Raw genomic sequence first — 13,870 nt, 5'->3', positions numbered from 1 at the left:
CATAAATGCAGCAGAGTCTTATGGGAGTGAAGTGTCACTCCCTCTTCTTACTGGGACACTGACCAAACTTCAGCAAGAAGACTCTTAGAAGTAGGTTCCTACTTTCATGGCCAAGAGATGGCAAAGACCAAACACTAAAGCCAGAAGACAGCAAAGTCTGCTGATGATTTGTTCCCAGTGGAAGTTTAGTCCTGATCCACATGATTCACCATTGGTGGTCCTGGCTGAACTTAGGGGGAATGAGCTCACTGATCCTTTTTGTTTCTAAATGTCCTAACAGACTTGCCTACTCCAGAAGCAAGGTCCTTGGCAAAAAAGAAAAAAAGAAAAAAGACAAAGAGAGACATCAGCACATAAAGAAGTCAATGGAAAAAAACATGTGCACACACAAAAAACCATATGTAGAAGGAGAAAGAACCCTGGAGATACATTCACCAAGATCTATGCAGGGCAGCAGAAGGATTCACACATATCCTTACTGGGTGGTCCACTGTAAGTCCAAGAGATACTCTAAAACTACACACATACACACATGCACGCATGTGCACATGTACACACACACACACACACACACACACAAACCCCAAGAACTAAATCAAAGGGATTATTCAGTATCTGCAATTCTTCAGTTTGAAATCTCTTGTTTGTATTTAGTGTGGAGTGTTTTCCCTAAAGGATATCCTGTTTGAGATTAGTATTGGCTGGTTCCTTTTAACATCCCTAAAGAAACATCCAGGGAAGCTAAATAAACCCCCACCCCTCCAATAGCAGGCCAAATGATTTGTCTAGAGGGGGTCAGAGAGAAAGAGTTAACATGAAGCAAGACATATTCTCGTCTCCTCCTGCAGCTTCCTGCTATAACCCAGAATCCCCAACAGCTTCCCAAAGTAAGAAGGAATCTCGATCTCAATATCGGCATAATCCAGAGAGGCAGTGTGGCATTGAAACTGAACCAATATAAGACTCATTCCTGGCTTAGCTACTGTTCAAGCAAATCTGTGCCTCAGTTATCTTGCATGTAAAGTGAGCATAAATGGACTTTTCAAAAGGCCATTGGGAGAAATCAAATGAGCAAATGTATATAATGGCACGCTATAGTTTCTAATGTACTTTAGCTCACATTATTATACACATTTCTCCCATCAACCTGAAAATATCATATTGACTTCATAGAATGAATGAACAGCTGAAAAAATAAAATGATTAGAAATACCATTTTTACCACTTAACTTGGCAACAGATAGTGTATTCTTTATATGCTAAAAAATAATGTTATTGTTGTTATTTTTATCAGATTTAAAATATCAAATTTCTCAACCAATGTTCCTATTGCCTCTTTTTTTAACAACATCCCTAATACTGCATAGGAAGTAGAAATTAAGAACTACAGTGACAGATTCTACGTAGCCCGGTAAGTGTACATTGTTATTTTGAAGGTTGTATCTCCTTCAAGTCTTTTTTTTTTCCTTTCTTTTTTTTTTTTTTTTCTTGAGATGGAGTTTCACTCTTGTTGCCCAGGCTGGAGTGCAATGGTGTGATCTCAGCTCACCGCAACCTCCGCCTCCTGGGTTCAAACGATTCTCCTGCCTCAGCCTCCTGAGTAGCTGGGATTATAGGCATGCGCCACCACACCTGGCTAATTTTTTGTTTGTTTGTTTGTTTTGTATTTTTCGTAGAGACGGGGTTTCTCCATGTTGGTCAGGCGGGTCTTGAACTCCTGATCTCAGATGATCTGCCTGCTTTGGCCTCCCAAAGTGCTGGGATTACAGGCGTGAGCCACCACACCTGGTCTCTTAAACCTGGCTTTTCTCACTTTGCCCCAGCCATTAGCTTAGACTTTCAACATAGTCTACCTGGATTACAACAGAAACTGCTTTTTTCTCTGTCTTTGGATTTCTTTCTTTCTTTCACTTTCACAGGGCTAAAGCCGGACGATATGTCTATTGTCCACCACCTCAGTCCCTTCAGCATTCCTCATGATATCTATGCTGAGTTTTGTTTAACAACTTTCACTTTCCCAAATCATGCTCTCTACCTCTGAGTTTTTGCCTGAAATGAAATTTCAAAACCCCTTTTCACCTTTGCATGTCAGGTTTCAGGTCAGGTGTCTGCTGCCATGGAAGCCTTTCTAATACTCCCTCTGTGTCATCCATCTCCTCCCAAATTCTAGAAGATGCCCATGCTGTGTAATCTGGAATAGACTGTGGGTATCTTTTTATCATAGCATGAATTCCATGGCACTGAGATTGTTTTTTTCCAGATTTTTCCTATTTATGAGCATTTTAAGGAAGGGGATTATGTCAAACATCTTTTTACATTTCGAGACCTTGCCTAGTCCTGGCACAGTATAAGTCCAATGTATGTTTCTTGTGAATAGGCAAATACATGAAAGGACAAATCTGGTGAGGTGAAATTATTTACCAAATAGTGGCAATTTGCTTGTTTGGAGATTTTTAAGACAAGGTGAGACAGCTATCCTTTTAGGGTGCTTTGAGGTACAGATTTGGCAGAGGTGGGGGAGACTAGATGGTACCCACATCCCATCTGGTCCTCTGCCTCTAGGCCTGAGCCTGGCAGGGGGGAAAAATTTCTTAAGAAAGGGAGGACACAGAGTGAGGGGAAAGTAACTGTTGTTGGGCACTCAGCACACCCCCAGGACTGTGATGGTCTAAATATACTATTTTGTTTTTGCAATAATCATGTGAGTTTAGTGTTTTTAATCCCCTTTTTACAAATGAAGAAACTGAAATTTAGAGAATTTAAGTAACTTTCCCAGATCGCATAATTCCTAAGTGACTCAGTTGGGATTGAACCCAGTTTCTCCTGGGTCCTTTTTCCGTGTTTCTGCAACTGGAGCTTAAGTATTCTCTTAGTTCAATAGTGTTTGGGTTACACAAAACAACAGGATGTACCTAGGGCACATCTTCCTGGGATGTTTTGCTTAAAAATTTTGGAGAAAATATTATGTCTGTGCTCAAAAACCACAAAATTAAATACATAATTTGTATAAATGTTTAGGATGAAGGGAGACATAAAACATTTTTCAGATCTAGGGTTGGCTGCTCTGGGATGGACTTCCAGACTGCTAGTTTCTATACACTCCTGCTCTGAGGCCATCAGAACCACTGTGCAGAGAAGTTTTGAGATGCTCTGGAGGACTGTCAAGAAAGCAGCAGAGGATGCCAAGAGTGAGGATGAGTTGATGACGCCATTGCCCTCCAAACTGTGGGACCTACTGCTGCAGAAGGGGCTCCCGCTGGGACACTCATGGCCCGGGGTGGAAGAACAAAACAGCAGGAGCTCATCTGGGAGCTTACCGGCTTAAGCTTGTCCAAGAAGACATTTCCAAACCCTGGGCCCAGGACATCTCCCCTTCCAGAATGAGCAGCAGACTTGAGCTCTGGGTGTGCTGTCTTCCCAAAGGGATGGAGCAAAGCCGGTGGTGTCTGGACCATCCAGAATGAGAACATTGAGAAGAAAAGTTTGAAATATCACTTTTTAAGCTGAACTCAGATGTTTAGTTAGCAAATAATCTTCTACTGGAGTTCCTCTTTCGTTAGTATTTCATTGGTCACCTTACCCTTTGAACAGAGTCAAAAAATTATCAAGCAAATCTAGGACTTTAATTCTAATTGATACCTAACAAGTGTATGCCATATTTATTCCACATTAAGATGCAACTATTTTTCACATTTTAACATCTCTGATATTGGTATGCCTCTTAAAATCTATGGCATATCATATTTTAATGAACCATTTTATTTCTTAGTGCCACATTGCATAATGATGTCTCTTGTTATCAAGGGCTTCCTGGAGTCAAAATAATGTATTGGGTTTTTACCACTGGATTTCTGTCCATGTATGTAAGTTTAATAAGTTTAACATTATAAGGACAGTTTACATAAGGACAGTTTAACACGGTCCATGTATGTAAGTTTAATAAGTTTTAAACATTATAAGCTGTTAAGACTTTTCTTCCTATAAAATTTTCAAATGAAATACTATATACAAAAGAAATTAGAGAAATTATCATGGTTGAGGCAGGAATGGGGGCTTTCCACCTAAAAGGATCCACTGAGAATCCCCTGGTCTTCCCTGAGGCAATTCCATGGCATACGTCAAAGTAAGGTATACATACAAGACACAGTATAAGTGTTAAAGTTAATTTTATTGCCTTTTTCCATATCTGCTTCCAACCATGTGCCAGGAGTAGGAATTCTTGTGTCATTAATAAAGCCTTATATAACTATTTGACCATATAGATAACATGAAGGCATAACTTTTATATATTTTAAAAATGCAAATATTTATAAAAATCTCAAAGACATATAAAGCTGTATTTAGAACAAAATTAATGACTAAAAATATTAATAAATATATTAATTAATTAAGCATTTGACACAAAGAAGCAGAAAATGAATAACTGAAAAAAGCTTAAGCAAAGGGATATATAGGAATCAATAAAAGCAAAGGCAGAAATTAATTAATTATAAAATAGAAAGAGTAGAACTGGTACATATACAATGTGATTCTTTGAAAGAAAACAGTAGCTAAAATAAACAATAATAGGTAAACCACCTATTATTATTACCTAAATTAATCAAGAGAAAAAAGTGAGAAGGAATAATAATAGAAAAACAACCATGGAGAAAGAGGAAATGAAAATAATTATATGAAATAGCTGCAAAGGTCTAAGCAGCAGATTTTAAAACCTGGAAGAAATGAACTCTTTTCATGGAAAACAGAAACTGCCAAACTTGACTCAAGGAAGAAAAAAATAAACAGACCAATTGTGCAAGCTGTCAAAGAGAGTCTGGTTTTTTAAATCTTGCTGGAATACACAGTAAGAAGTTTCCAAGTTATTATTTTACAGTCATCATAATAATAACAAAAATATCAAAGATAGCACTTAAGACCCAATCTAGTGCGTATCAATGCAAAAATTATAAAATAAGTCTTACAAAGACACTATAGCAGTGCACTGTGTAACAATATATCAGGACCATCTGAGACTTGTTTAGAAATCTAAGAATAGTTCAATGTTAAGAAATATGTTCTTACAAGTCACCCACATTAATAGGTGAAAGGGCCAAAAAGCGTACACTCATTTTAATAGATACTGAAAGTTATGAGGAATTTTTCTTTAATATGAAAAAAATTAGTATCTCAAACTATGCTACCTGTTTAATAGTAAACTGTTATAATAAAATTCCCATCAAAGGAAAAAACAGAGTTGGAAGGGCCATTATCACCACCTTTATGTAACATCTTTCTGAAAATACTTTCCAATGCAGTGTGACATAAAAAATAACTTAGAAGTTTAAAAAAATGGAGAAGGAAAAATGATCATTATTTACAGATAGTGTGATTTATACTTGGAAAGCTTAAGAAAGGCCATTTTAAAAATATTTTTTAAAAATAAGAGATTGATTTAAGTTCTGGAGTTCTGTTGCACAGCAGGTGACTGTAGTCAACAACGATGTATTGTTTACTTCAAAATAGCTAGAGGAGAGGATTTTAAATGTTCTCACCACAAAGCAATGACAAGTGTTTGAGGTAATGGATATGTTAATTACCCTGATTCGATTATTACACAATGTATATATGTACTGAAATATAACTGTGTACCCCATAAATATGTACAATTATCATGTGTCAATTAAAAAAAGTATAACATATAATAAATTAAGTTAAAGCCAAAAATAAATAAATAAGAGAACTGAGTCAATGGTTGATAACAATTTAACCAAAAAAAGGTTAGAAAAATGTAACAAAATTTTTAATCTAATTTACAAAAGGAAAATGAAAGATTAAAATACTCAGGAATATTTACTTAAGAAATGTGAAGGAACTTGACTTTAAAACATTAAAGTTTATCTAAGGAACATAATACACTTGATTATTCCTTAACTGGAAGGTCTCATGTTCAAAAGAAATGAATTTCCCTAAAGTAATTTGTAAATGCAATGAATAAAATCACATCACATAAGTGACTTATATCATGGCATCAGAAATGTGGGAAAATCAGGGAGATTCTGACAAAGAAAAATATTGAAGGAGCACTAGTGAGATGTTATTTTAAAAATTATAAAGCTTCATTAATTTACACTATTTGCTGTTGGTACTGAAAAAGACAGATATCACAGAGACCTCAAAAGCATACCAAAATACATGGGGATATGCAGTGAGTAATATGTATGAGTAGGGAACAAGTAAGGTATTCATTATATAATATTAGTATAACTACCTATTTAGAAAAAATAATAAAGCTAGATGCCTACCACCATAACCATTATTCAAAAATAAATTCCAGGCATATCAAAGATTCAAACGTTTTTTAAAATACCCTGAACATAAGAAATGAAACAAAAGTACTTTTTCAAATTAATCTTCTAGGGTGAAAGTCCCTCCTGATGATGGTACAAAACCCAGAGACCAAAAATATAAAAGAACAATAAATATAGCAATAAAAATACTTCAAATAGCAAAAATACCATGAACAAAGATTGAAAATAACAAATTGGAAAATATTTACAATTGACACCCAAATAATAGCCTTATAATAAGATCCCCTAAACATTATTTATTAAAAAGAGAGAAACAATCCTATATAAATGATGGCAAAGGACATAGATCTGAGGAAAAAAGAAAAATTAAAATAGTGATAAACATGAAAAGATGCTCAACATGACTGGTCATTAACGAAATGCATATTGAGCAATAGTGGAATTCCATTTCCATCTCAAAAGTGATTTAGTGACAAATGTGGGGAAGGAAAAGCATGCTCATAAATTGGTTGGTGAAAATAAAAATCGGTACAATTCAATTGGAAAGTAATTGGGTAGTATCTGTCAAAATATAAAGTGCATGTAACCTTTGTCTCAGTTACTACATTTCTAGAAATCTATCCCACAGAACTGCTCTCTAATGTATATAAACATAAATGTTCACAGGGATTTGTAACAGCATTGTAGCCATAGGAAAAGTCAGGAAATAAGCCAAATATCTATCAATAGGGAACACTTAGACTGTGACATATACACATACTGTGAGGCATTATTCAGCTATTAAAAAAGTAAGATAGGTTCATATATGATGATATGGGAAAATGTCCAAGGTCTCTGATGTAACAAAGCAAGAAAGATACAAAACCCTGTTTAGCATAACTCCATTCGGAATTTTTTTAAAGCATAGATATATATGTGCAGATGCTTGCCTACACGTAGAAAATCTCTGAAAGTTAGGCAAGAAGGGGTAAATATGATTACCTCTGAGGGTTAGGACTTAAAGCAAAGGGTAATAGCACTTTTACCTTTTACTTTATGCCCTTCTCAACTATTTAAATGTTAATCATGATCATGAATTTTTTTGATTTTAAGAAATTATTTTTTATAATATATGAGACCTTATTTTCTTGTGTCCTTGAGTTTCTAAGACCCAGGACATTTGTGCTTCACACATTATTTATTATTTAATTCTTATAAAGACAACACTGTGGGATAAGACTCACTTTGTAGATGAGAAAATCGCATTTCAAAATGGTTAAATAACCTTCTCAAGGTCACAGAGGGCCTCTGTCATGGCCAAGATTTGAATTTGAATTGAAGTCTGTCTAACTTGAAGCCACTGTAAAATACCAGACACGGCTCCACTTCTTCACGATTGGTATATGCATAAGGACACCCCTAGATCTATAAGGGCAAGCATCTTTCCCTCAGTCTTTCCTGCTTACCCAGGCTCTGGCAGAGAGTAGACACCACAAAAACTATCCACTGAGTGGTGGGTTGGTGAAAGGCACAATGGATTTAATAGCTTGAATCATGGATCTCACTGATTTCATTACAACAATTAGATAAAAATCAGAAAACAAAAATATAAGGAAGTAATTATAAAGCTTTTTACCTCATTCTATCCTTATTACTATCTTGTTTTATGGTAAAAATCACCAGCTGTCCAGCAGGGTAGCACTGTTGCTGAGAAACATCTTCCCCAGGCTGCCCCACTCCCTCGCGTAAATGGAGCCACATGGCTGAATTTTAATCAATGAAATACGGGGGGAGGTGAAAAATGCTCCTCTTGGACTGGCTGACGGAAAATTCCTGTGCAAGTTTCCACCCTTTCCCTTCCCTTGTCTGCAGGCTGGATGCAGAGGTTTCAGCAGAAAATTCAAGGTCTTATGGCAGAAACGCAAGTTGGAAGGAGCCAGAACCTCTTAATCACAGCCTGTGGAAGAAGTGCCAACTGACCAGGACCTTCACATGAACATGAAGTAAACCGTTATGAGCAGCCACTGAAATTTGAGAGCCGAACCATAACAAAGACTAGTCTTTTCTTAAATATATAATACTGACCTCTTCCACTAGATTATAAATTTCTGGAGGACAGAGCTTATGTTTTGTATCTACATCATGCCTCATATAATACTGAACATAAAGCAGATTCTCAACAAACATTTGCTGTAACGAAAGGATACTGAGATCTAGCAGGTAGAGATAGATGGAGCCTCTACATTGTGAATGGAATCAAAAAGGATTTCCATAAGAAAACAAAAATATTTTTTAAAACATTAAACTCATCTCCCTGTTGAAAATATATTACTCCAACATACTTAGGATCATTTCTACCTTGCTCAGGGCATCTTATATAAAAAAAGATATCTTTAAAATATATTTTAGTATTAAAGTTAATGCTTAATAATGTGGATTATTGTTTTCATTGCACATATATAATTTTCTTTATTATCATAAGAGGGATTATTGCTAATTAAAGGAAATTGCATGTGTAATAAAATATGCTAAGGTATAAAGAATGAAAATTGCACCCACATTGCCACCATTTAGCAGGGGTGTCCAATCTTTTGGCTTCCCTGGGCCACACTGGGAGAAGAATTGTCATGGCACACATAAAATACACTAACACTAGCAATAACAAATAAGCTAAAAAAAAAAAAAAGACAAAAAAACTAATAATGTTTTAAGAAAGTTTACAAATTTGTGTTGGGCTGCATTCAAAACTGTCCTGGGCCACATGTGGCCCAGAGGCCGCAGGTTAGACAAGCTTGATTTAGAGGTTGCCACTGTTACCATGAATATGTTTCTTTAATATACATGTCATTAGACAGTGTGCATGAGCATTCTCATATATTATTAAATATTTATTTATATCATTTAATGGTCATAGAGCATTCCATTGCAAGACATATGTAATTTATTTAATCAATATCTTTTGCTGGAAATTTTCACTACTTCCAGATTTTTACATTCATAAGTAAAACTGATGAATAACTTGTGTACACTTTCTTACTGTTTTTGAAGGAGAAATTCCTAAAAGCAGAATGACTGGGTCAAAGATTATGAATATCATTAAGTCTCTTAATATGGGTGGTTAAAATATCCTCCAGAAATGTTGTACCAATGCATTCCTGAGGAATATTCTTGTAAACACACGTAATTTACAAGCACAAACCTACTCAGCACATTTGTCTAAAATGATTATGTCAGTGAAATATAGAACTACTCCGGCAAAGCCAGTCAAAACTAGAAGGCTGTTAGAAGAAAAAAAAAAGTAGCATTGAGGTGCAGCTAAAATAGCCTCCCTTCAACAAATGACCAGCGTCAGGAGCTCTTAGGAGTTTTGCTCATACACTATGCTTCCTCAGTCAACTGTGCCATTTAAAAAGCTAAAGGGGCCAGATATTTTTTGTGTTTTTTCTGCCCCCCACCTTCAAGCCAGATTTAAACATACTCAAAACATCTGGTCCCCAGGACCCATTTCAAAAATAAAAAATTCCAGATAGTGCAGAAGCATCAAGATCCGAAGACTGTTGGGAATGCAAATCTCATCCATAAATTATGTCCATTATCACAATACAGTACTGTATGAGGGAGGGAGGGAAAGGGCAGGAGGGAGGGAGGGAGGGAAGAAGGGAGGAAAGAGGAAGGAAAGGAGGAAGGAGGAACGAGGAAGGAGAGACAGAAAGAGAGAGAAAGAAAAGAAAGAAAGAAAGAAAGAAGAAAGAAAGAAAGAAAGAAAGAAAGAAAGAAAGAAAGAAAGAAAGAGAAAGAAAGAAAGAAAGAAAAAAGAAAAGAAAGAAAGGAAAAGGGAAGGAAGAAAGAAAGAAACTTTTATTAAAAATTTTAACATAAGTGGCCGGGCATGGTGGCTCACACCTGTAATAACGGCACTTTGGGAGGCTGAGGCAGGCGGATCACAAGGTCAGGAGAGCCAAAATGATGAAACCCCATCTCTACTAAAAACAATAAAAAAATTAGCTGGGCGTGGTGGTGCATGCCTGTAGTCCCAGCTACTCGGGAGGCTGAGGCAGGAGAATCGCTTGAACCCAGGTGTCGGAGGTTGCAGTGAGCCAAGATCACACCACTGCACTGCAGCCTGGCAACAGAGCAAGACTCTGTCTCCAAAAAAAAAAAAAAAAAAAAAAAAAATTCTAACATAAGTCTGAGAGGTGGTTTTACCTTGTGAGCCTTCTAAATCACTTCTAAAGCAGCTTAAGTCCCTCATTGCTTTCTTAACTGCAGCCTGTGTCTGAGGATCACAGGATGTCAGCTACCCAGCAAGTCATGCATTGAGCAAATCAGCCAAATGTGAAAGAGAGAATGAAGCCTCCTTCAGCTAATTTGCTGGATTCAATTTTAAAGTATCAGAGCTAGAATTCCTTAGAGGCCACCAAGTCAAGCTCCCTCAGTTGGTGGAGGTTGGCCTGCTGATTAATGCTCAGCCTGGGTCCAAACTGACTCAGGAACCAGAAGATGCATAGAGCAAAAGTTAAGACAGGCCGGATCTGACATCCTCAAAAAGAGTGAAGGCTCAGTCCTTCCATCTGCCCAGCTGCTTAGGAAACCACAACAGCAAACAGCTACAAATACCAGTTATGACCTGGAGTTGTCTATGCTTTAAGTCCCACAGAATAAACACAGAAGAGAACAGAGAGTCACAAGGATTAGGTCACTGGCCTCTGTGGTCCATGTGTCCCTCCCTGCTGACCACAGGGACCTGTGGAAACTGACCGTAGAATGCACTTTTTATTCTGCCCCAGTGCTAAGAAGCCAGCCCAGCCCAGGCCACTTGGACAACCTCCAATATGTGAATGGATTCATCATACTCATTCAGTTCAAGGACTAGAGTCTCAAGTGTATCACCAACTTGTCTTCCCCTCCTAAGCCTGTTCTTCGTCTTGGCTCTAACACTTTCATCTGTGTTTATGGAACTAAATTTATCCCTCAGGCCTGGTGTTTGACCCATGTTCTCTAGAACTGGCCTCCAAATTCCACCTTTACACCCACGCCTGAGTTAACGCCTGTCTCAAGGCACTGTCAAGAAACCTTCCACTCAACTGGGCCTGGTCTCCAAGATCTTACCCCAGAACAAGCCCATCATGGCTGTAGCAATAGTGAACTTCTCCCTTGGACCTAGTTAAGAGTGGGCTGGAATAGGTGATGGAAAGTAGTGCAGAATATAGTGGGATATTAGGTTAGAAAAGCAGTTTGGGACCAACTTGTGAAGAGCCTTGAATGCTAAGATGTTTAATTTTACCCTAAAGACAACCAGGAGCTTTTAGAGGTTTTTGAGAAAAAGGTACCCTTGATTAGATATGTCTGTACTTTTAAAAGACCTCTCTGGAAGCAATGTGGAGAATGGATATGAGTGAGACCAGAGAAATGTCAGATCAGTTCACAGGGTAGTAGAGTCACACAGGTGAATATTGCTCTAAGTCATGGCAGTGAGGATGAAGAAAAGTGAGCATAGTCCCCCCAACATCCCGCAAAAAATTCATGTCTACGCAGAAACTCAGAATGTGACCCTATGTGGAAATAGGACCTTTGCAAGTGAAGGATCACAAGATAATATCATATTGGATTTATTTCTTTTTTTTATTTGTTTGTTTGCTTGTTTGTTTTTGTTGAGATGGAGTCTCACCCTGCCACCTAGGCTGGAATGCAGTGGCATGATCTTGGCTCACTACAATCTCCACCTCCCGGGTTCAAGCCATTCTCATGACCCAGCCTCCCAGGTAGCTGGGATTACAGGTGCTCACCACCATGCTTGGCTAATTTTTTTCTTTTTTGTATTTTTAGTAGAGATGGGTTTTCACCATGTTGGCCAGGCTGGTCTCCAACTCCTGACCTCAAGTGATCCTCCCGCCTTGCCCTCCCAAAGTGCTGGGATTACAGGCATGAGCCACCATGCCCAGCCCCATACCAGATTTAGAATGCACTGTAAATCCAATAACTGGGGTCTTTACAGGAAGAGGAGAGGCCACAGCGACAAGAGAGAAGGCCATGTGGAGACAGATAAAGCTTGGGATTATGCTGCCACAAGCCAAGAACTGCCGGAAGCCCCAGAAGCTGGAGGAGGTAAGGATGAATTCTTCCCTAGAAACTTCAGAAGGAGCAGGGCCCTGATGACACTTTGATGTCAAATGTCTAGCCTCCAAAACAGTGAGGGAAAAATTCTGTTGCTTTAAGCCACCCAATTGGTGATATTTTCTTATGGCAGCCCTGAGAAGCCAATACAGTAGGAAAGCAGGAGAGAGAAGATTGACATAATTGGCACAGATAATAGCTAGGAGCAGAGAGAAAAGATAAAAATAGTTAAAGAGATTTACTATATGAAAAGTATCTCTATTAAAAGCTTTACAAGATTGGTTTCATTTAATCTGTAAAATAACCCTATTAGGTAGTTATCACTATTATCTTCCTATTATCTCCTTTTTCCATATGAGGCAACTGAGAAATAATTATCTCATTACAGATTACATGGCTAGTAATCCAATTCAATATTTGAGTCCGTATGACTCTAAAATCTCATGTAATGCTTCCAGATAGAAGGAGATTGGAACTTGGGTTAATATGATTGTATCAGTGAGTCATTAAAGAAGAATCATGAGATGAAATCTGAGAGATGTTTCTAAGACATTGTTAAATGGAGGAAGCTTTGAAATAAATAGGCACTTGGGTTTAGTTTATTTAAAAAGATAGTCAAAAGCCACTGTCATTTCCCACTTACTATTCTGTTTACTTAGGTAGGATTAACAGGCTGCCTCAAGTCATTCTTCCTCATACAGAGCACACAACCTTCTCATCAAGGGTGGGCAGGTGGCCAGGGAAGCAGTGTTTGTAAATTCAACAGAAGACTGTGTCCTCTCCCCCACGTAAGCCCCAGGAAGTGGCTTCCAGGAAAAAGACCTCCACCAAGCCAAGAGGAAATATTCACATCTACAAACAACCCTCTTTGCCAAAATTCTGTTCAGTTTCTTGCTGCACACATACACATAAAGATAGATAAAGTGAAGCAAATAAATTTTAAAAGGTTACCTTAGGGTAAGGAAAAGGAGGCTGTGGATAGGAAAATTAGAGGAAAATGGAGTAAAGGACCAGGCGTGGTGGCTCACACCTGTAATCCCATCACTTTGGGAGGCCGAGGCAGGCGGTTCACAAGGTCAGGAGATTGAGACCATCCTGGCCAACATAGTGAAACCTTGTCTCCACTAAAAATACAAAAAATTAGCTGGGCGTGGTGGCAGGCACATGTAATCCTAGCTACTCGGGAGGCAGAGGCAGGAGAATTGCTTGAACCAGGGAGTCAGAGGCTGCAGTGAGCCGAGATCACGCCACTGCACTCCAGCCTGGTGACAGAACAAGACTCCATCTCAGAAAAAAAAAAAGAAAAAAGAAAAGAAAAAGGAGTTAAGTTCTGATTGTCAACACACTACCTGCATGACACATGCACACAAAAATTCATGTATGCCCATTAAATGTACATATAAGAACCCCATGTGTGTGCACACATGAGCATGCATGGGGGCACACACACATGCACGCGCACACACACACACACACACACACCTGTCTCT

General features: G+C 38.0%; 1 long non-coding RNA gene across 4 annotated transcripts in view; it reads right to left on the bottom strand.

Annotated features, from left to right (window-relative positions):
• The window catches only part of LOC101927389 (uncharacterized), a 35,673-nt gene extending 27,662 nt beyond the window's left edge, over nucleotides 1-8,011 (bottom strand). For all 4 annotated transcript variants that reach the window (XR_243722.5, XR_934870.3, XR_001752944.2 and 1 more), the window contains exons 1-2: nucleotides 7,903-8,011; nucleotides 3,318-3,446 (exon numbers count right to left, since the gene is read on the bottom strand). This is a non-coding gene — a long non-coding RNA (uncharacterized LOC101927389). The remainder of the gene's footprint in view (nucleotides 1-3,317; nucleotides 3,447-7,902) is intronic.
• Between the last annotated feature and the right edge of the window lie 5,859 nt (nucleotides 8,012-13,870).

Source organism: Homo sapiens, chromosome 17 (assembly GCF_000001405.40).
Source record: "Homo sapiens chromosome 17, GRCh38.p14 Primary Assembly".
Lineage (NCBI taxonomy): Eukaryota > Metazoa > Chordata > Mammalia > Primates > Hominidae > Homo > Homo sapiens.
This window is presented reverse-complemented; position numbering and strand designations above follow the sequence as displayed.